A 24,393-nucleotide genomic window follows, 5' to 3' on the forward strand; every position below is an offset into this window, starting at 1 on the left:
TTTTTAGAAAACAAAAGCTAGCTTGATTAGCCTTCATTTAATCCTCATAATAAATCATGAGGGATAGTTCAATATTCCTATTTACAGATGAGGAATCTTTGGGTTCAGTGAGATTAAGATTAGTCGTAGAGCATGGATTCAAATCTATATGGCTTACATAAATTGAAAACATTATTTTGCATTATGTTATAATATTTGTAAGGTACAAGTTTATGCTGGAATCTGAAAATAAAGAAATTAATAAGGAATGGCTCTTGGTTAGTTACAGTCTTACTCCATTGTGGTCCAAACGAAAGGAAAGGAATAGAGATTAGGAAGATATCCACGTATCGGCTGTAGTGAATAATGCTGAAGTGAATGTAGGAGTATAGCTATCTTTATGAGGTGGTGATTTTGTTTCCTTTGGCGATATATGCAGGGGAAGAATTGCTAGATCGCATGGTATTTCTAATTTTAATTTCTTTAGGAACCTCCATACTATTTTTGATAATGGCTTCACCAATCTATATTCCCACTAACAGTGAACAAATATTCTCTTTTCTCCACACCCTCACCAACACATTATCTCTTATCTTTTTGATAATGGCGATTCAAACAGGTATGAGGTAATATCTCCTAGTGGTTTTGATTTGCATTACCCTGAAAAATAGTGATGTTGACCACCTTTTTATGTACCTGTTGGCCATTTTTACATTATCTTTGGAAAAATGCATATCCAAATTCTTACTTCATTCTTTTAATATGGTTTTGTGTTTTCTCACTATTTCCAATTATATATTTTCCCAATCTGTAGGTTGCGTTTTCATTTTGTCAATTGTTTTTTGCTGTACAGAAAATTGTTAGTTTGATATAGTCCCATTTATTTATTTTTGCTTTTGTAGCCCATGGGATCTTAAAAAAAAAACTGTCAAATAAGAATAAAACAGTTGTTACCAGTGTCTGGGTGGAGTGGAGAAAATGGGGAGATGTAGGTCAAAGAATACAAAGTAGCAAATATGTAGGATAAATAAGGCAAAAAATATAATCTACAACATGAAGACGAAAGTGGACAATAGTTTATTGCATTCGGGATTTTCGCTAAATAAGTAGATGATAGCTGCTGGGGTGGTGAGTAGATAATTATGTGAGATAATAGATATGTTAATTTGTTCCACTATAGAAGCCATTTTACTATACAGTTATGGGTGCTTAACTACAGATATATGTTCTCAAAAATGCATCGTTAGGCAATTTCATCTTTCTGTAAATATCATAGATTGTATTTTCACAAACCTAAATGGTAGAGCCTACTACCCACCTAGGCTATATGGTATACCTATTACTCCTAGGCTAGAAATCTTTACAGCCTCTTACTATACTGAATACTGTAGGCAATAGTAACAAATACTGTAGGCAATTGTAACACAATGGAAAGTATTTGTATATCTAAACATAGAAAAGGTACAGTGAAAATACAGTATTATAATCTTATGGTACCACCATTGTATATGCAGTTCATCATTGACTGAAAAGTTGTTATGATGCATGACTCTCTCTAAATATCTTAATCTTCATGTTGTATACCTTAAACATGCACAATATGATTTATTTTATTTAAAAATTGATATTAATGTAGGCCAGTGTGCATAATGCAGGGGATTCCTGGAAAAGTCTGACTCGGGGAAAACCCAAACTTTTCTGACAAACACAAGCAAGGTTGTTGCTTGTGTTGAAGTTGAGAAGACTGGAGTTGAGAAACTCACAGAAGACAGTGGGTCAGATATTAGGCCCAGTTACTTACAACCTGGCATTTCCAGAGAGATGGACTCCCCTAAGGCTAATTCAAACTCATGCCTGGAAAGAATCAAAAAAAGAAGTTAATCTTGGCTTGATGAAGTCATGAAAGGAGTAGAAAATAGAGAGCCCACTAACTTACCAAGTTTCAGCATAATAACTACTGTCCCCTAGCAATGCTTTCTAAAACATAAACCTTTGCAGAAAGTTGATTTGATAGTAATCTCAATGCTTCTAATTTGAGGAAAATAGAGCATTGTTTCATTTCTCAGTGGCTTCACTCATTTTCAAACTGTAAATGAGAGAATATTTATATGGCTGCTGAGCAAAAATGAAAAAAAAATGAGGTTTGATTTGTTTTTGAAGTTTAGAAATATGTCTGTGGATGACTAGCCAAAGATGGCAGAATTTAGATATGATGAGATGGATTGATGTAGCTATCTGCCAAACAGCATGATTAAAACCATTCAGACCCTGAAAATGGAGCAGAGAACATTGGCTTTATTTCTATAAACTAAACTGTCACCATCAGACTTAAGTGCTCTTGTCGTGTCAGAGGATTTATTATTATTAAGAATTTCTCTGACATGCATTCGCCGAGTGCCTCTTTGAAGTTTCCATCAGTCACAGCTCTTTAGTGACATGGTCTGGCTAGTTTTCAATGATAAAAGGAACTGAGGCATCCATACAAATTAACACTAGTTTCATGCCATAGGCCCCTCATTAATATGTGATTTCAAATGAAGGTGGATTTAATCTGTAATACAATTAGTTGGTTGGGGAGGACCACATCAAGCAGTAGAAAAATGTCAGAAAATGTATGTCGAACTCAACTCTTGCAAATCAAAGGTGAGTCCCTCTATAAGGGAATGTTATTCATCCATTATTTCAATGGTCAACTTACATATGTGAATGTACCATTAGTTAAGATGTGAGACAGACAGGTGACTTTCAGGTTTATCTCAAGATACTCAATAACGAATATTATTCTTACTACATATCAGGAAAGTAAAATTCTAAAATTGACCTTCTCTCTTATTTCAGAGCAACTTAATTCTGCCAAAGACCATCATAGAACCATTTGTATTAAAAACTCTACAGACTGATACTCTCGGAATTCAGCTAGGCCTTCAGCACCACCTGCCAATTCTGTTATCTGTCTTTTGTCAGCTACTTTTACCATTCCCTTCCTCAAAATTTCAGAACTGTCCCCTTTCCTCAAATTTTCTCTGTACCAAATTTCTACCCCACTTCTTTAAGCAGATAGCATGACAACCTAGACACTTGTGGCTATCAGGCTTGATTTACCTCAATATTCCACCTCTTTATCTATTACACTTTTACTGCCACAACCATCCTTTCTCTCTTTTCATCAATGACATAGAATGAAGTGACCTTCTTCTTGCTCTAAGCCATGCTTTACTCCGGTTTTTGGGGGGTCCTCCTTTCTGCTCTAAGTCCTGACTACACTAATTAACCTTATTTCCTTTACAAATCTTCAACTTTTTTTTCTATTGGCTCCTCCCTCTTAACTTCATCTCCTTAATCCTAATGACCTTCCTTGGCCCCACATTCTCCCCAGCTACTCACACAGTCAAAATGTGCTCCACGGTAAATGGTCATGTCAAGAACCTTTGAAGGGAAGGAGATTTCACTGTACTTGAAGGCTAACAAGCTAGTGTGCTAGAGTTTCATACTTACTGGCAGAAGACACAAAATTTATGGGTAAGAAACAGAGGACTTCATTCCCATGAAACAAGACACATGAAGTTTATGTTTGCATTGGTTCTCCATGCCCCTCAAGTCCCACAGCAGTGATGCAAATGGTGCATGTGGTACTGTGCACACAGTAGATTTGTGTTACAGCTAAGGAGACACTAAAGCTTTAAAAAAATATGACAATAGGCTGCTGGCAAACTTGTCTAACTTTGTGCAGGAGGAAGACATTAGTTTTGTTATTCTGGTTAGGAACAAACCTGCCATCTGTCTTAGAGGGAGAATTAATCTCTACCTTCCAAGGCATTTTGTTATATAAACATCCTTGAAAAGATAATGTAGGACAAAACTGTCCAGAGACATACACATGTGCCATAGAAAATTGCTCATCCATAGGTTGCCTTTCATTTATTTATATTATTAACAATTTTTTGGTAAGTTGACTGAATGTTCTCTATCTGTTATACATTTTGCTAGGTGGGAAGCACACTACCAGACTTTAAGAATCCTATTTAATTTTTAATGGACACAGTGAACCTCATAGCACATTTCAAGAATAATGCTGATTTTGGAATGCCCTTACTAATAAATCATAAATCACCTGTAGTCATTTCATTACAGACTGCTGGAAGGGTACTAGGCATTGTGGTCTGGTAAAAAATTTTCCACTTACATTACAATTGATCCAATAAAGAATAAATTGCAAATAATACTTCAGCATTAATGGTGTTTTCTTCACTCTATAAGACATACAAATGGACCTTCATGGAAAATATACTGTTGTAGTTGCTATAAGCCTCTATTTCATTTTAAGCCAAGACTCAAAATCACATCATATTAAATAACTGTGTGTGTTTGGTCTTTTGGGGTAGGGATGAGAAAACACATTTTGCCAAGTTTAGCATTGTGAGTTCAGAGTTCAGAAGAAAATTCAATTCTTTCTGGAAATGAGTGTAATAGAACAGCTGGTCAGACACAATTTACTTGCTCACAGAAACAAACTTAATGACTTCTGAATAAAAAAAAAAGGCTTACTAAAAAGGGTCATAAGGAATATCACCAGATTTAGGATACTCTGGGCTTAAAATGGCATCTGCTTATAAACTCTGATGCAACACTTCCCACTCCTCAAAAGCAAACCAACAATTAAAAAAAAAATATATATATATATATATATACGCACACACATATATATACTATATATATAAACTCAAAAACAAAAACTAGGAAGATTTTTTTAAAAGATGAAGAGTAACTTAAAATATCTAGAATTTCAATTGATAGGCAACTTGTAATAGGGATTTTTGAAGACTTTTTATAAACTAAATGGGTAATAAACAGATTGTGAAAGAAGTAAATAATATATTTAGTTGTTACATCTTAGAAAACTTAAATATGTTTTCTGAAATAAAGTTCACTTGCAAAAACAATACTGAAAAAAACCATTTGTCTTAAATTGCCGTTTGCCTCCAGACTCAGAAATCCAAAGCTAGTACAAAACATAGAATGGGGCAGCTGTCCTTCTATAAAACTGGTGCTACATTTTAAGGTCTTCTCCACCTTCATTTTTTTACCTTTTTATTTTGAAAAACAATCAGACTTATTAGAAATTGTAAAGTTAGCATAGAAAGTTTTTTGGAACCCTACACCCGGCATCCCCTAATGAAAACATCTGATATAAACATGGGATATCAAAAATAGGAATTTGACAAAGGCACCATATGCTATCAACAATATCACAGATCTTATTTGGATTCCATCACTTTTCTAACCCTCCTTCATTTTTAAAGCTATACTTAGATATAAAACTCAGAAAATAGCCAGGAAGTAAGGTGAGAATGTGACAGTAGAAATCAGGGGGTTTCTTGCGGAGATACATTCCTATTAACACAGAGCTAGAAAAGTCTAGGCAAGAGTGGAAACAGCTCAGGTTAACACCTAATGAAAAGCCTATATTTTTTTCTTATGCCCTTCAGTTGACAGTGCCAGAAAATCATATAGTGGAAAATGAAAATGAGCTTGCTAAGTTAACAGAGTCAAACAAGACAAAGCCTTGCTGGAAATGAGAGACTGGACAGGGAGATTTTGACCTTCACTTTTCCACTGGCTAAGATCTGAAGCTAGAGGGCAAGCTTATATCTGCAACCTGCCTGTCTACCATTTCTACTGCTGCATAAAAATAAAAAATTTCAGGAAGCTTGGCACAGTCAAGAGTATAGGAAGATGCGAAGATGTGATATGGGAGGAAATAGCTGTAGAAAATAAAAGACTGAAATTAAAAGTGAACAAGCATGGGATGTAATTTGAGACTGAGGAACTAAGAAAGAATTTAAGAGTAAATGGAAATAAATATATTGAAAGCAGAAGAGTAAACTGACTTGCAGAAAATGCAATAAAATTAGGCAGTGGATTTCTCTCCATATTTCACAAAGATGTTAAAAAATGATATCCCAGGTTCTAACACACAGTACCCATTTCCCTGTGGTTTTCACTGTAGACAGATATTGTTTTCACAGACAAATAAATAAACACTTTCTCTTCTCAAAAGTATTTATTAGAATGTGAGTGATATCAATATATTTGCATAGATTTTCATCATCTCTTCTAATATGGAACTAGATGGTAATTCTAGACTTTACAGTGAGACTTTATTTTTGTATGAGTGTCAACCCACTCCTCAAGCCAGAATGGTTCCAGCAGAGCGATTACTTTCAAAAGCTGTATAAATTTATTGGTAAAAGTTTAATGCCAGCCTTAATTGCCTTCAAAATTCTTGACTAGAGACCATCTGGTCTCAAAGATTTATCTATACCTAGTTTACAAATGCAGTATCAAATATTCTGTGGTTGTACCACTACTTGATCTCATTGCCATAAATTTTAAGTTCCAAAAGTCATCTTAAAGTGAAAAACTCTCTCATCTCTTTTTGTGAAATGGGAAAAAGTTACTAATTTTTTTTTCTCTGTGAATTTCAGTTTCCAGAAGAACCTCCTCCAGAAATTATTGAACAATCCTACTAGTCTATCAGTCAGTTTTCTAAATTTCTTCTAGTCTTCTAAGCTTTCTACCTTTCATATTTCCTACTTTTTTCTGAATCTTAGTCCAAAATTTTTGTAATACATTTTAAAAGTCATACATTCACTCTTTTCTTCTTTCTTGCCTTTTTTTTCTCTCTGTATGCTTCACCCATCAGTGAGAGTTTAAGTAGTACAAATTTCAGATTTCTGCATTTTCAAATTTAGGAGGAATGTTTTAACTTAATTTTTAAAATGTACTTTGTAAATTCTACTAGGAACAGTTAATATGATATCCTCCCTCTTTTTCTATTATCAGGTTTTTATAAGTATTTTTGATATACAAAAGAACTATACATGTTTAATTAATATAATTTAGTGATTTGGGACATATGCACCATACCCGTGTAACTATTACCACAATGAAGATAATAAACATATCCATCACCTCCAAAAGTTTCCTTGCACACCTTCTTGTTTGTTTGTTCTGTTTTGTGATAAGAAGCCTTAACATGAGATATACTCTCTTGACAAATTTAAGGGAACAAATAGTACTGTTAACTATAGGCACAATACTGTATAGCAGATCTCTAGAACTTAATCATCTTGTATAACTGAAAATATACACCTGAATAACAACTTTTCATTTCCTTTTTTCCCCAGCCCCTTGCAAGCACCATTCTATTCTCTGCTTCCATGAGTTTAACTATTATAGAAAACTCATATAAGTGGAATCACGCAGTATTTCTCCTTCTCTGGCCTATAACATCCAGCATAATGTCATCCAGTTTGATCACTGTTGTTGCATACGGCCGGATTTCTTTCTTTTCCAATTTTGAATAGTATTCATTGCATGTATGTACCACATTTCCTTTATCTACTTAACCATCTACTGACATTTAAGCTGTTTCTGCATCTTGGCTATAGAAATCACCTTGCATAACTGAAACTTCATACCCATTGAATAGCAATTCCCCATTTCCCCTTTCCCTAAATCCTGGCAACCACCATTCTCTCTGCTTCTATTTTAAATCGTTCATACAAATAGAATCATGCAGTACTTGTTCCTGTTGTGACTGGCTATATCTGTTCCTAGAAAATAGAAGTTGTTAATATCTTGCTACAGTTGTCTTTAGCTTTCTCTGAAAGAAAGGACAAAACTAAACTATTTTTGTATAATAGCTCTACCTATTGTGTTAGATTTAGTCTTAGGTATAAAGATTTTCTGGTTATGAGAAATTTTCCATTTAACAGTATATCTAACTAAGTGTTTTATATTAGAATAGTTTTGGATTTACAAAAAAAAATTGTTGAAAACGTCATACCAAGAGTTCCAGTATAACTCTTATCTAATTTCCCCTTTTGATATCTTTTCACAAAACGATATTACATTTGTCACAAGTGAGAAACCAGTATTGCTATGCTACTATTAACTAAACTCCACAGTTTGTGCTGATTTCACAAGATTTTTTTTTTTTTGCTAATGTCCTTTTTCAGTCCCCATCCCCAATACCATCCTAGATACCACATTACATATCCTCATATCTGCTTAACATCCTGTAATCTGTGACAGTTCCTCAGACTTTGTTTTGATGACAGTTTTGAGAAAAAAATGGTCAGTTATATTTTAGAATGTCCCTCAGTTGATCTCAATCTTATGCCGATTGATCTCTCTCTTACACTTTTCTCATGATTACGCTGAGGTTATGGGTTTTGTAAGAGGAGGCTGCAGAGGTAAAGTGCTATTCTCATAATTTATCAACTATCATGATTTATCATGCTATCAACAATATTTATCACTAGTGAAGTTAGTCTTAATCACATTTCTGAGGTAATATATGTGAAGTCTCTTCACTGTAAAGCTATTTTTCACCACTTTCAATACTCTACTCTTTGGAAACCAATCACTAAGCACATCCCATACTCAAGGAATGGGAAATTAAGCTTCTATTCTTGAAGTAGAGAGAATAACTACAAGAACTATTTGTAATTCTTCCTTATGGGAGATTTGTCTCTTTCTCCATATGTTTATATTTATTTATTCAATCAATTATTTATATCACTAAGGGCATGTTTATTTTATATTATGAGTGATGATATAATATCATGTTATTTAGTTAGTTGCTGAAACTGTTGCAGCTTTGGCTAGTGAAAGTCAATTTACGTTGCTCCTGTATCCCACTGAGATGTCTCCATGGTTTTGTGTTTTAAACACTTTTATTTTCTGGCATTAAAAGTTATTCCAGGCTAATTTTGTTCATTTTTCCAAGAATCACTCATTTCTTTTCTTGAAGAATGGTATTAGAAATCAAGATCTGGGCACTGGGCACTGGAAAGCCATTATTTTAAAATTAAATTTTCTATGTTTTTATTTATATTACATTAGCTCACTATTGATATGTGTATATTGATCTTAAAAATGCCAATATTAGTTCTAAAATTGTATGTGTAATATTATTCTGCAGATAATAGTTGGATATACTATAGGAATACTTACACTATTCTTGACAACTTTATTTCTTCTTTCTAATTCTTACATCTTTTACCTTATTTTTAGTCTTATTGTTTTGGATAGGATCTCTAGGTCAATGTCAACTGTGGCATCTTTTCTGTGTCTCTGACTTTTAATGAATGTTCTAATGCCTCCTGTTAAGTGAGACATTTTCTGCAACTGTTTGATAATACTAATCGGGTTAAATAAGTAATCTATCTACAAACAGCTAAAAACTAAATCTTACAGAGGTACTGAATATTATAAAATCCTTTTCTGAATCTCTGAAGATCACTTTTATTTACTCTCTTTAATCAGTTTATGTGATAAATTATATGAATAGATTTTGTAATACTAAGACATTCCTTCATGTTTCAGATAATATCTATTTGGTCTGAAGGTATTTATTTCTTCACTCCTCTATCGAAAATGCAAACACATTATTTTGTCTTTTCACACTGAATTTCTTAAAAAAATCAACCTATTAATCTTTTAAAAACCAATTTAATTTCTTTAATGTCTGTATTCCTGTCAAAATTGTACATCTTTTAAAAATACTTTGGTAATTTAGGTTCTCTAGAAAAAGTTCATTTTGCACAGGTTTTCAGACTTCTTTAATCATAATTATTCACAATACTATTTTATAATTTTTAAAATTGTATCTGTAATTACAAATTACAAGATCTACTCTCATTCAATATTATTTTGTTGAAATTTCAATCTTTTTTTTCTCTTTGGATCTTGCCATATATTTATCTGTTGTATTTTACTTTCTAAATTACAAATTCTGGGGTACGAATTAGTCTCTATATTTCAAATCATTCTCCACTTTATTAACCTGCTTTTATCAATTTGTTTCTAGTTTGGGGAGTATCTCCCCTTGTCATCTTGTGATAAAAAATTTGTTTGATTTTCTATCTTTTTCTATTATATCTAAGGCTATAATTTTATTTTGAAAGCTACTTTAAATTTATTCTAGATATGTGTATCTTTTCAAAATGTATCTCTATATAAGATTTTGGGATCCATCATCTTTCAAAAGAAAATTCACTGAGAGCACTGAAAACACATTATATGTATTTTCAACAATTGGGTAATTTTTGAGACTTTATTTGTATCCTGGGACCTAATTTAGGCATTAAAAGTTCAACTTGTGCTTGGATACAATCTGTATTCTTTCAGATGTGAGGTAAAAGTCTCCTGCTGTGATTGAGGTAACTTCACCTTATGTCCTCCACCAGCCCAAGCTTTGAAGCCAGGCTTACTGGGTACACATGGGGGGCTGTGCCCATGGCTAGATATGTAAGAACAGGCAGGGCATTTAAAATTTCACCTGCCTCAGTGTTCTCATGTGCACAATGGACCCTCCTGTCTGGTTATGGTAAATATTGAGCAAATGAGGCCACCGGAGGTTTACCTGGAACAGGTTGAGGTGACAGTGTTCACCTTTACACACAAGTGCTCAGAAATATTAAATCTTCCTGTTTAACTCTTCCTTTTGTCATTATGCATAAATGATGTTCATTATCACTGAAAATGTTTTTTGTTCATTTTGTCTAATATTGTTGTCATTTGTCCATAATTGCTTAGTGTATTTTTCATTATTTTGCTTTTAATCTTTATATATTTCAGAGATGTTCTGTTTCAATGATTGTACTTATATAGTGATATGTATAATATATTCATCTAATATGTATTTCTTTCAAGAGTAGATTTTATTTTACCTATTTTAGTTACTATTTGGGGGATTTATTTTTGCTCTATATTGAACTTTTATTGGCAGTGGTTATTCTCACCCTCCCCTGTTTTGGCGATCTAGTTTTTCAGGGAATTTTCTTTATTAACGATTTTTTCCCCCGCTATCTTTTCACTGGTTTGAAAATAATACATTACGTTTATGTGATATTAATGTTTAGGTGCATTTTATGATAAATATTTGGCACGGCAATATACAAAGAAAATATACAACTACACTCTCTCCTCCAATTATATCTGACATTCAGATTAGTTTAACTCCAGTGGCTCTTCCCACACACGGCATGTTGTCGCTGTTCTTTATTTTACCTCCACCTTGAATTCAATCTCCCTCACTAGTTTCTGCTATTAATATTTATGTTTACAGTTAATTATTTATAAATTTCACTACATGACTATCGATATCTTTGTTAATTTTTATTTAAATATATTCTCTATTGGGTTATTTTTCTTCTTGCTTTTTAATTACGCCTTTGTGATAATTCTTTAGATAAAGGCTATGAATAAATTCTGTTTTGTTTTGTTTTTTATTTCGCCTTCTTTCTTCAATGGTAGTTCATTTAGATATTAAACAGAAGGCTGGTAATTATTTTTCTCAACAAGTTAAAAATATAATTTCAGTATTTTCTGATCTTTCTTTTGAATTTCAGAAATCTGCTCTCAGTCTCATTTGCTGCTAACTTGTAGTTGGTCTATCTTTATCTCAGGTTGTTTTTAAAAGTTTTATTTATTGTTTCATAATTTACAGTTTCATAACAACATATTTATTGCACATAGCAAGCAATAAGAAGGCATATGTAGCTTACATTTCATTAGGTAATACTTTTTAAGCCAGAAAGCTATGAAGGTATAATTCTTAGAAATAAAAGCAAATAGTATATAGATTTTCTTATGACTGGTTATTTTATGACTGATTTTGACTTACAGATTATCTTGTGACTTACTTTACAACAAGGGCAACTATTGCATGGGAATCTATAATTAGACTTAAATATACTATTTGCATATTAAATTTTCAAAGATTTTTATTGCTACATATTTAACTTTTAAAACACTATTAAGTGTTGGCAAGGTTTTAGGTAAATGGAAAGCCTCATGCACAGTTCATGAGCTAACAGTCAGTAAAACATCTTTTGAGGACAATTTGGCAACATCTGGAAAAAGCTAGAAATATATTAACAAAATTTGACCCAGGAATTCAGCTTCCAAAAATTTTTCATAATGATTATTTCATTGAGTAGTCTATGTAAAATGATATTAAACACAAGTTTAGTAAAATGGCAGAAATTTAAACTTGCAGTAGCATGTTTAAAACTTATGGTAGGCCAGGTGTGGTGGCTCATGCCTGTAATCCCAGCACTTTGGGAGGCCAAGATGGGTGGATCACTTGAGGTCAGGAGTTCGAGACCATCTGGCCAATATGGTGAAACCCCGTCTGTACTAAAAATGCAAAAATTAGCTGGGCCTGGATGTGCGTGCCTGTAATCTCAGCTACTAGGGAGGCTAAGGCAGGAGAATCGCTTGAACCCGGGAGGCAGAGGATGTAGTGAGCCAAGATCACACCACCGCACTCCAGCCTGGGTGACAGAGTGAGACTCCATCTCGAAAAAAAAAAAGGAAAAAGACTTACGGTACACTATATAATTAAGTTCGTATGTATTTTCTAAAGTAATGTTTCTAAGGAATGTCAGGTGAAATGAGATATATCATATTTTAAAAACTTATTTAGAAAACAATATTTTAAATGAGACAACAGATAAAAGATAATAAACGAATAAATGAAGGGAATAATATAAAACAACTAGTGGCAGTTTAGTACCTGGTTGTTACTATTATGAGTAATTCTAATTTTTCTTTTTTGAATTTTCTAATCTTTTTAGTGAATTATCCATATGATAGCATAAAGCAGTTATTTTGATTAAGAGAAACACAATAAACCTATTCTTTTCTGTAAATTCTGGCTTTTTGGAACTGAAGCACAATAAACATATTAAGACTAGATATAAACTACCTCTTTGTAATATATAGGATAAATTATTATTAATATATTGAAAGCACCAAAAATACATTTATAAGAGATTACAGAAGTCAATGGGCTTTCCACAAATGTTACATATACCAAAAGCAGAAAATAAAATATTAGTGAATTTGATTACACAAAACTTTAAATCTCTTGTATAGATGATATCATTAACCAAGCCAAATGACAAATGACAAGCAAGAAAAAGGAGCAGCCGTATAACAGCAAGGGAGCAAATTGCTTTAACACTAAAAGATTTTACAAATCAGTAAGAGTCATACAGACTAGTAGCAGAATTGGTCAATAACTATAGAACTAGCGAATAGGCATACAAAATCTGTAATCTCAGCCATAAATAAATAAAATTATAATAAACACAAACATTTATCTTCATATGATGAAGATTTTAAAAAGTATTAATACCTACTATAGATAATGAGAATTTGGAAAAATAATTGATTATCTTAATGTTTTGATGAAAGTTCAAGTTGTCATAAGCTTTGTAGTAGATGATATAGTGACATTTTGAAAAATAATATCCATTAAACCCACTTCTAGATATTTATTCTACAGCTACACATACACATTTTATGTAGATAAAAAGTATATGACACTAATCTTATATCCTTATGACAGGATAATGTATTTTTATTGTTGTCTCTCTTCTTTTGGAAAAGAAGGAACTTATTTATATGCCATTTATAATATGGTACATATAATAAATAACAAACATATGAGACATTTTAGTTTTTCAATTGGGATATTAATAAGCTATATGATGCATTTTCATCTACATCGTTTCCATGTGATATGGATATCTATTTAGATATTTTCCAGATGAGAATGTTTGCATGAGGAGAACATTCTCCTAAAATTTTGTTCTTGTCTTCTAAACTATGGTCAAGGCTCAAGTATCTAGGCTTATTATACACTCTGAATATTTTTCTATACTGAACCTATGGCATACATAAAAATATGGCAGATCTGCTAAATATAAAGTAAAGCATTGTTTACCGTGTGCTTTGTTCTCTCAGCAAATATATTATCACTGATGGTGTGTTTAATTTATTTGCACACTTTAACCTAAAGAAAGAAAATGTAATTTGCTTTTAACCATATAATTTCTCCCAGAAACCCTGCGCTTGTCAACATCAGATAGCTACAGGCTCTGGATAAAGGGAATTATCTGTGGAACTCTAAAGCAATTAATTGATGAGCCTACACCCAAGAAATTGTAAGTCAGTGGGCCTTACAGATATCCCCCAAAATTTTTCACAAACATCTTATGTCATTCTGGGGTAGACACCCAGAGACTACATTCTGAGGAAAACTGGTAGAAGTGTTAGTTCTTTCCACAAGTCTTGGCAAAGTTACTCTGCTTTTATTTTCCTATTGTCTGCTTCATGAAGTATGCAAAAACAATTAGGAACTTATTCTCACAACAGTGACGATAAAATGACCTTTTACCTAAAACTGTTTAGTGGGAAATCATGCCTCTGCTGAATTTTCTGCTCAGATCATTTTAGATTAGAATAAATTGATCTTGTTAAAAACTGAAGGAAATATTTTTCACCTTTTTAAATTTTTTAACTAAATTGAAATCTAAGAGTACATGAAATCTAACCTGAAAATGGGCCGGTTGGTGAAGGACGAGCCATACGAAAATCCACATCCTTCATCTCTTAAGCATTTGCTATTTAAAAAACTAACTTGAGTGGAGCACTGAAATAATCTAGTCTGTTGCTAAGAAAATATGCAGATTCAGAGCTGCTGGCGTTTTCCATTTGGAGTGGTAAATTGCAAAAATTCCCCCAGTTTCTCATGTTATTGCTAACATATACAGAGGATAGGGAGAATATTTGGTATAGTTTGGTACCTCAAATTAAGTACAGAAATTACACCAATGTCATGTTTCATGTTTCATACTCCAAAGAAAAATGGTTGAGTAAACTAATATTATGTTACTATTTGTAAAGTACTAATAATTTTATGCTTAGGATAATTCATCTTTAATTGTGTACCTTTCAGATTGGGTACCATGTTAACTAAAATTTTCTTGACCTCTGCTCTGTTTCATTTTAAATCATTCTGTTTTCTGCTTCTTCTTACAGACACTCTTTTCCTGTGGGGTTTTCTGTGTTCTTTGTACAATTGTTTTGGATCTAAATATCCGGATGATCTTTCTTCTACTAAGGCCTTTCTCATACCTTTCTTATACGTGTTCCTTTTCTTCTCCTCTATTCTGAAAATCACACCTCTGCATCTATTTGTCAAAGCTTTGATTTTTCCACTACGACCCAAAAGGCAGTCTAATAAGGATTTGGTAATAAGTTTGCAGTTAATAATTATAGTTAATACAAAGTAAATATGATTAATAATTATTAAGTGCTTATGGATGTTCCAGGTTCTGCTTAAAGACATTTGCATATGTTGTGTCATTTAATACACACAAAAATTCTAATATACCCTTCATAGAGATGAAAAAAACTGAGACCCAGAGATAATTCATCGCTTGCTCAAGTTCACACAGCTTATAAATGATACAGCTAGGATTCTAGCCCAAACTTTCTGATTCTGGAAGCACTGACCAGCAGTTCTTAAAGACCTCAAATCTACTGAATAAGACCTCAAAGACCTCAAATCTACTTTAGTGGTGGGGCCCAGTAATCTGATTCATTAAGACCTGAAGAGAATTCTGATGCGAGCTCAGGTAAGAGAACCACTACACTAGGCTGTACTCTTTCAGAGCTTAATTTAATACAGAGCTGGATATAAATGCATGACAGATACATTTGAATAAGTAAGGCTAACAGAATATTTTATTATCACTCTTAATATTTGCCTTTTGTTAAAAATGAGTTTTATAACTAACTATATCAGTTGTTCAATTAATGACTTCATATTCTTTACGGATTTTTAGTATATAAGAAATTAAGCTCTATGATAGAGCCAGAAATATATCAGACATTGTGATTTCCCTCAAAAAACTTGTATTATATTAGGTAGATAAAGTTTTTTTTTTTTAAAAATTCACTAAACACAACATATAGTTTGATAGTTTAGAATGTGAAGAAGTCTTGAAACAAAAAAATAAGGTTTCAATTTGAATTTCAGTATTGATAAGCTGTGTGATGTTATCCAAGTTATTTGACTATTCAAAAACTCAATATCTCAATATTTCTTAAAGAACTCAGTGTATTAGGATATTATAAGAAATAAGAAAATGTGTGTTTTGTACAATGTCTAACATACATTAAACTCTTAATAATTACTTATCACTACTTTGCTTACTAATGTTACTGTTACCATTAGTAATAGTATTACTAATAGCAATAGACAGGTTTATACTAAGATCCTCATGACCAAAATAAAATGAAAAAAATGGCATTTAGAAATTGAAACTGAAAGATCATTGAAAACTTGGATGTTCAAGGAAAAGATTAAAGAAAAGATAGAACCCAAATTGGCTTTTATCTCTTTGTATCTCTCTCTGGCAAAAGGAAAAGGAATTGGTAAAAAGACAAATCTGAAATAATATTTCTGGGAAAGTAAATAAACCATTGTTGATGGAACAACAAATCTGTAAAGGAAAGTAAGCGAAAATGGATCAAGCTCAGATTTAAAGTTAGTATATGTGAACTTTATCTTGCTATAAGCTAAAATCCACCTCTAGCAAAGACAAATTTCATGTTATACAAATATGCTATAGCAAACCCACAAATATTATAATATTCAAGCAGCAGGTATTTACAGAGAACCAATTCTTTACCAGTTATAACCGGAGTTATGTTAATTCTCTAAATGCCATGCCAAGCTAAAAATGTGCAAAAAGAAAACATAAAGGGAAGAATGAAAACACTGTTAGAAAGGTAAATAATAACATTGTTATTGTAACATATTTTACAAAGTAACGATCACCAATCACAGTGAATATCTGTAGGCTAAAACTTGCCCCTGAGAAACAAATCACAAAATAATGGAAAATAAAATTTTTCAAAAGGGATCTGCAGTAGATTATACTCTAATGAACCACTTGATTTTATAAATTCCATTAATAATTTTAACTGTACATTTCTCAACCTTTTGTCCTTAGGGCTCAGCCAACATTAAGTCAACTAACAACTACATTAACAATAGGCAAGAGAAAAGAATAGTGTTTACTGTGGTTCCAAAGGGATTTTCCAAGCAGATTCACTGGTAAGGAAAAATCCTCTTAGCCATTGTTGGCTTTGAAAATGTTTGTGTAGTGTGATTCTTTGCTTCTTAATTAACCCAGTCACTGACTACTTAGGCAGTGTGCTACGGCACTGATGAGGTTTAAAATAGTAGTTTTCTAACAAAAAACTTCAGACTGAAGAAGTATAATTTCTGATATCCTTAAAATGATCAAAAAATCACTTTAAAGCATCCTTTAGAATTGTATTAATCTCAAATTTTCACACCTGTTGTAATAAGTAGACTGTATTTTTTGTTTTCTCTTCTTTTTCTAAAAAATAAAAATATATAATATATTTATGTAGTACATGGTACTTTTTTTTTTTTTTTTTTTTTTTTGAGATGGAGTCTCACTCTGTCACCCAGGCTGGAGTGCCGTGGCACGATCTCAGCTCGGTGTAACCTCCGCATCCTGGTTTCAAGTGATTCTTCTGGCCCAGCCTCCCGACTAGCTGGGATTACAGGTGCCTGCCACCACTCCTGGCTATTTTTTTTTTATTTTTTATTTTTAGCAGAGATGGGGTTTCACCATGTTTGCCAGGCTGATCTCGAAATCCTGACCTCAGGTGATCCAACCACCTCGGCCTCCCAAAGTGCTGGGATTACAGGCATGAGCCACCATGCCCAGCCACATGGTACAATTTTAGCAGTTCTGAAATAAACCAATTATTTCTTTAAAAAATATTATATGTTATTAAACATAATTTCTCATAAAATCATCCACAAAAATAATCGCATTTGAAGACTAAAATACCAAAAAGAGAGAACAAATAGTGTTGAAGTTAGATGCATAAGCTTTCTAACACAAATAAGAGTGGCTGATTTTATAAATTTATACATCCAGGTTGATCTTATGCTAGTACATTTACATAAGGAACAATATTACCTCTTAAGTTAATTACATAAGTCAAGTATATCTAATAAGTGAATAAAACAAAGAGAAATGCTGTGATCGAAAGTTGGTTATTTTGCTGAGAAGGATGGTTCCAGCTTCATCCATATCCCTGCAAAGGACATAAACTCATTATTTTTTATGGCTGCATAGTACTCCATGGTGTGTATGTGCCACGTTTTCTTTATCCAGAAAATAGGCATTTGGGTTGGCTTTAAGTCTTTGCTATTGTGAACAGTGCTGCAATAAACATACATGTGCATGTGTCTTTATAGTAGAATGATTTGGGTATATACCCAGTAATGGGATTGCTGGGTCAAATGGTATTTCTGGTTTTAGATCCTTGAGGAATCGCCACACTGTCTTCCACAGAAAACCAAACACCGCATGTTCTCACTCGTAAGTGGGAGTTGAACAGTGAGAACACATGGACACAGGGAGGGGAACATCACACACCAGGGCCTGTCGGGGAGTGGGGGGCAAGGGGAGGGAGAGCATTAGGACAAATACCTAATGCATGTGGAGCTTAGAACCTAGCTGTTGGGTTGATAGTGCAGCAAACCACCGTGGCACATGTATACCTATGTAACGAAACACATGTTCTGCAGATGTATCCCAGAACTTAAAAAAAATAAAGTTGGTTATTACATTCACTCAATTTTAAGGTCTCATGCCAATTACTTCTCAATTTACTGTACTGGATTTGAAGCCCAGTGCCACTATGGAACGGTTTCATGACTGAGAGGCAGGCAATATTCCTTGCATGAAGTGTACTTTCCCTACCTATGCAATTGAGAATAGTATAATATTCCTTATGGAGACGCTTTAAGAATTAGAATGAAAGTATATATGAAAATGCCATGAAATATCATAGGCATTTATAGATGTTAGATATGATAATATTTGGTTAATTATAGCATTTCTGTGTGTTTTGCTCAGGAAAGGGGACATACTGATATATATAAGCTTGCTGATTTGTAAACCAAAGGAAATTTTCTAAGTTTTTGTTTGCTTGTTTTTGCTGACTGTGGGAAGCAATCCACCATGGACTTCTCATGTTCCTGTATGTCTTCTGAGCAAAGGGCAGGCTAACCAGTATGTCTCCCTCTGTGGCAAAGGTTTGGCAGGTTTGCTAGCAGCCCTCTTTACAAGGCTGGGGTTTCTTACACTCAAGGTCTCTCAGTTGTCATGCAAATCCAGTACATGCACACCATTAAGTTGGCCTACTTTGCATTACTTTTGGGATTCAGGGGTGGACAAGGGGAGCCCACGTGAACACACAATTCATGCTGCCTGCTTTGCCTGGACCCTTCATGTGTCTTCTGCCAGCTTGTATGAAAGTTGAGAAGGCTAACTTGTCAGCTTGCATGCAGGCTAACACCGCGGGCCCTTCACAGTTCTTGACAAGGACTAGCTTCCCTAAAGGCAATCATTCTACCTGATGAGGAAAATTACTTAAAAAGCAGGAAAACGGTAATGGGTTGGAAAGCATACAGCTAATAGTTAATGAGGTTACTTCACCATATTATGTTTTTTGAATAAAGATTATACTATTAAAATGCCCTCACATTTTTATTACATTCCACTTCATTGATAGTAAAAAAAAAATTGATCAGGATATTTAAATATTCTCCACTTCATATTTACACATGACGGGATAACATCAGGCTCTTGTTCTTTTTCTGCTCAGATCACTCCTTTGATGCAGGCTTCATGGTGTGGACTAGAGGAAAGTCTTTATTGTCATTGCGTGGTAAATTGATTTGCCTGAGAGTGTGATGCAGGACTGAGGAACATGACCATCTTCAGAGAAGGAAAAGTCAGATTAGTTACTTCAATCTTTAAAAAAAAAAAAAAGTCAGGGTTCCTGAAAGCGAACAGTTATTTAGGTTCTACGTGTGGAGAAGTGAACAAAATGAATCGTCACAGAAAGGATTAGATTAGATATAAATATCATCTAGTCCAAATCCCTTTAAGGTCATACCGTGCAGTTGGTGGAAAAGATCTTATAACTACAAGGCCAGCATATTATTTCTCTACGGCAGACATTCAAAACTGTGACAGCAATACAGAAGGAGTCTGCACTCATAGTTACATTGACAAGGAGGAAATAAATCTGAGAGAGCTTCTCACTTTCATTCATTGTCTCTTTTCTTCACTTTACTGCGGCCATTAAACTATTTTTTTCCATGCAATTGTGTTGCAGTTAAATGTAAGTGTTTTTGAAATTTATAATTTTTTTTCCTTTAGGATAGTTTATGAAGTATTTATTTTGATTACCATTATTTATATGTATCAAATCATTCATAGTCCTATTAATTAAATAGTACTGATTCAGTTTGGTGTAAATTATATTTGATATTTTGATCTTAGCTGGATGTTTTCTGTAAGTCTTGACCATCTTTTCCAAGACAGCCATGCTGGTGAATCTGTTTTATGCCATTAATTGTCATTCACTGAAATATATATAGAGAGAGATATATAGATAAAAAATCTGTATGTATTTATACATGCTATTTTGCATAAATATATATATTCTTGCATATATATTTTTACTTTAAAGTTTCATATATAATGCAAGTATTCTGTAAACAGTAATGTGTTCATCCAAATATCTATTAATATAATATAACCATTTCACTAAAGTTATGACTTATTGAGAAGTTCTAAGGATAGTATGGATTCAGAAAGAGTTAGATGGTAAACAATGGAGGATTTTCCATAATGTCAAACAAAATATTAGTGTATTCACAGGTATTTTAAGTTTTATGAAAATCATGTTATTAAGCATTAAAAAATGCTGAGAGAAAAGTTTACAATCTTACTTTGAAGTGTATCACTGTTTTAATAGCTGCCAAACATATTGCCAATCCAACTCTAATTAACTATATTTTTATTATACCTATATTTTAATATAACTACAGAACAACAGGATAGATAATTAAAAGGGCTGAAAACTGCTTGATTTTGTTTCAAAAAGAAATTTGTAAAGTCTGAGGAACTTAATTAGATGTTAAATTCTACCTGCCAAAAAAGGCACCGAAGTCTTTCTCAGAGCCAACACCAAAGATAAAGCTAAATAAGTTTTGTGATAAGGTAGAACAGTTAAACTGTGTTAAAAAGACAAAAGTAACTAGTAGGTGAGTAACTTCAAACAGTTGATTATCAGGTGATTATTTACTAATAAGCACTTTGTTTAGATAGAAAACAAAAAGACTATAAAGTCCTTGTTATTTGTGAATTGTTAAATGTTATTCATTTAGCAGAGTGGATTGATAATTTGAATATATTTCCTGGCTGATTATCTCAAAGACACTGATAGTTCCCTATATTAAAAATTATCTACTATCAAGAAGAGCTTAAAATGTCTATTTCAAGAAAGCACCGCCAAATGAGCTAAGAGATGCCTCCCACCCCATCACCCCACAAGCAGGAAAAGTTAATATAATAGCCAACCTCCCTTTCTCCCTTCGTCCTCTTTTTTCCTCCTTCCTTCCCTTCCTTTCTTCTTTTCATTTCTTGAGCACCTAATATGTGGCAGACACTGCTAGGTTATGTGAATCTAATGGAGAGCATTTATGGAAATTGTACCCAGGAAAAACAGACAATCTGATGATCACATCAGTGCTACCCTTAAATCTGGTCAGGAAGGGTCCCTGTCCTGGGTCCATGACCTTAAAGGAATACTTGACCTTTCACAAACAACACATTCAGGACATGTACTAAAGAACATATGGCCACCTTGTCACTCAGAATCTTACATTCAAATTCAGCATAAGATAATGCTTAGTCTTAAACATCTACTTTCATATTAACACTGCTCAGACCCCAGGAAACACTTTTCAACATTTGTCCTATTCATTTTAAAACAAAGTTAAGTGTAACTGAGTGCTGAAAAAATGTGTGTGCTGTACTGCATTGGAAGATAAACAACATTTAAACACTATGGAGAGAGTAAAGCAGTGGACGGGCTTAGGTAGGAAAAAAGACACACATATTTACTAGTAAAGTTACCATGAAGGCAATAGATTCTAGCATAACAAAATATCATTTCTCAAAATTGAGGAACATCTATTTGTTTTATCTTATTGTATTTTGTTACCAAAAGTACTGAAACACTCATGCAACTTTCATACAAATTGCACATTGCAGTCAAGAAACATCTTGAATTATAAAATAATTGATATCCGCTGGTAAATATGTATATATGAAGATTTAGACATAACATATGTGAAGCATCATTTCCCCTCTTAACAATAACAACAAAATGTTCTTTGTATTCTAGAAAGGACAAATTATAAATAGCTTTATTATTATTAAATATGCTATAAATTTAATTTATCTTTAAAACGTTAAATAATATTATATATGATGATGATGATTTTCAAAATTAAAATTGAGAGGCCAAAACAAAGTGTAAAATATAATATTAAATATTTTACAAGAAAAATAACTTATTTTCATAAGTTGGTACTTTTATTTTCACTAACATTTTTGATGAAAATATATTTCATATACTTTGTAAACAACTATACTTTAATTTTTAATCTTTTTGAGCATTGAAAATGAATGCAAAGATTGTTAGAGAAATAAAAAGTTCAAAAATGCAACACAGAGAAGAAATAACTGAAAAAAAGAAAATATATAATTTTTAGAGAGTCTGTCTGCTTAAATTTTTAAGAACTTCAGACAATGAAAAGGAGCTTATTTTTGGGGAGCATGACCCACTTAAAATTTGCAATCAGGACATTACAAATTCTTTACTAATGAATATTTAATTACTTAATTACTGATTAAAACAGTGAAACCAAGTAAAAAATAATTATTCTTATGAAATCTACTGCTTGAATAGGACAGATGAAAGCTTTATAACTTTATATTCTTTATTGGTTGAAGATTTAATTACCCTTAGAAACAATGGAAATGTGTATGTGCTTCTATTTGCTTATATTTGCACAAATGGTCTCTGGAAGGGCACTTGGGAAACTCTGCAGATGGTTATCTCTGGGACAGGCAGTAAATGGCTGGGTGAGCAGGACAAGGTGCTTTCTGTACTTTTTAAACACTGTGTATATTTTATTCATTAAAAATGCATTGTTTTATGTCAAATTTTAAAATATCCTGGTTAGAAGTTAAGGAATTCTTTCTCTGTTCATGTTATTCAGTTCACATCTGTCTTCAAGGCTTATTAAAATGAGATATTGTTACTTATAAACCTTTTCAGTATTTAAACAAATGATTGGAAGTTATTTACCTCGTATGCCAAGAAGTGTGCCACCTGTACATCCATGTTCATGGAAAGAAACATCATTCACTATAGCCAAGATATGGAATCAACCCAAATGTCCATTGCAAATTTATAATTCCTTCCACTGACTGAATGGACCACCCCTCTCAGCCAAGGGGACCCAACTAAACCCAAAAACTAGTTCAGGCCATGATTATTACTGGAATGGGGAGGTGAGACATGCCTCATTATACTCTTCTCCTTTTGGAGTTCAGGCACAATTAACTGGCATTTTCATTAAAACAGAGATTCTAAGACTGACAGAACAGACTGTAGCAATAGGATACCAACTCCAGCCTGACTCTGGTACGGCAACATATAATAGATAACAGACCCTAAAAAGAGATCAAAGTATTTTACCCCATAACATATTTCTTGACATATTTTGAAATGACACTGCAAAGCTATCTCTTGGGGGAAATTGCATTCTTTAGAGAATCTCCTTCCCTTACTAGGTCCCTCCAAAGAGTCTGACATCTTCGATAAAAGACATTTACATCTATTCTCTCTGAAGCTTGTTACCTGGAGGCTTCACCTACATGACAAGAACCTTGGCTACCACAATCTCCATCCCTATATCTTAACTCAAGCTGTTTTCAACTCTTCAGGTGGAGCTTATTCCTTTCAACCAATTGCCAATAAGAAAATCTTTAAATACACCTATGACCTGGAAGCCCTGCCCCCCACCCATCCCACTTTGAGATTTCCCACTAAAATGTACAAAACTAAACTGTAGCCCAACCGCCTTGGGCACATGTTCTCAGGATCTCCTAAAGCCTTGTCATGAGCTATGACCCTTAACCTTGGCAAAATAAATTCTAAATTCACTGAGACCTGTCTCAGATACTTTTTGGTTTACACCATCAATGGATGAATGGATAAAGACAATGTAGTATATATACACAATGGAATATAATTTAGCCTTACAAAAGAAGCCAGACAGAAGTAAATCCGGTCATCTGTACAACATAGATGAACCTGAATGACATTATGGTAAGGGAAATAAGCCAGGCTCAGAAAAACAAATACCACATGATCTCACTTACAAGTGGAATGTAATAAGTTTGAGCTCATAGAAACAGAGAGTAAAATATTGGTTACCAGAGGCTGTGGGCTGCAGATATTGAGAAGATACTCCTCAAAGGACACAAAATTTCAGTTACACAGGAGGAATATGTTCAAGAGAACTACTGTATATCATGGTGACTAATAGCATAGCTAATAACAGTA

General features: G+C 33.2%; 1 protein-coding gene across 4 annotated transcripts in view, besides 1 other annotated feature; it reads right to left on the reverse strand.

Moving 5' to 3' along the window:
- Nucleotides 1–24,393, reverse strand: part of LRRTM4 (leucine rich repeat transmembrane neuronal 4) — a 774,692-nt gene that overhangs the window by 620,758 nt on the left and 129,541 nt on the right. The window lies entirely within an intron of this gene.
- Nucleotides 18,780–19,348: an enhancer, noted in NCBI's record as "NANOG hESC enhancer chr2:77614348-77614916 (GRCh37/hg19 assembly coordinates)". NCBI's record gives its function as "activates a minimal SCP1, AML or CMV promoter by ChIP-STARR-seq in naive H9 embryonic stem cells {active_cell/tissue: H9 hESC(naive)}" and the evidence as "EXISTENCE:reporter gene assay evidence [ECO:0000049][PMID:30033119]".

The sequence above is a fragment of the Homo sapiens genome, chromosome 2, assembly GCF_000001405.40.
Source record: "Homo sapiens chromosome 2, GRCh38.p14 Primary Assembly".
NCBI classification, from domain to species: domain Eukaryota; kingdom Metazoa; phylum Chordata; class Mammalia; order Primates; family Hominidae; genus Homo; species Homo sapiens.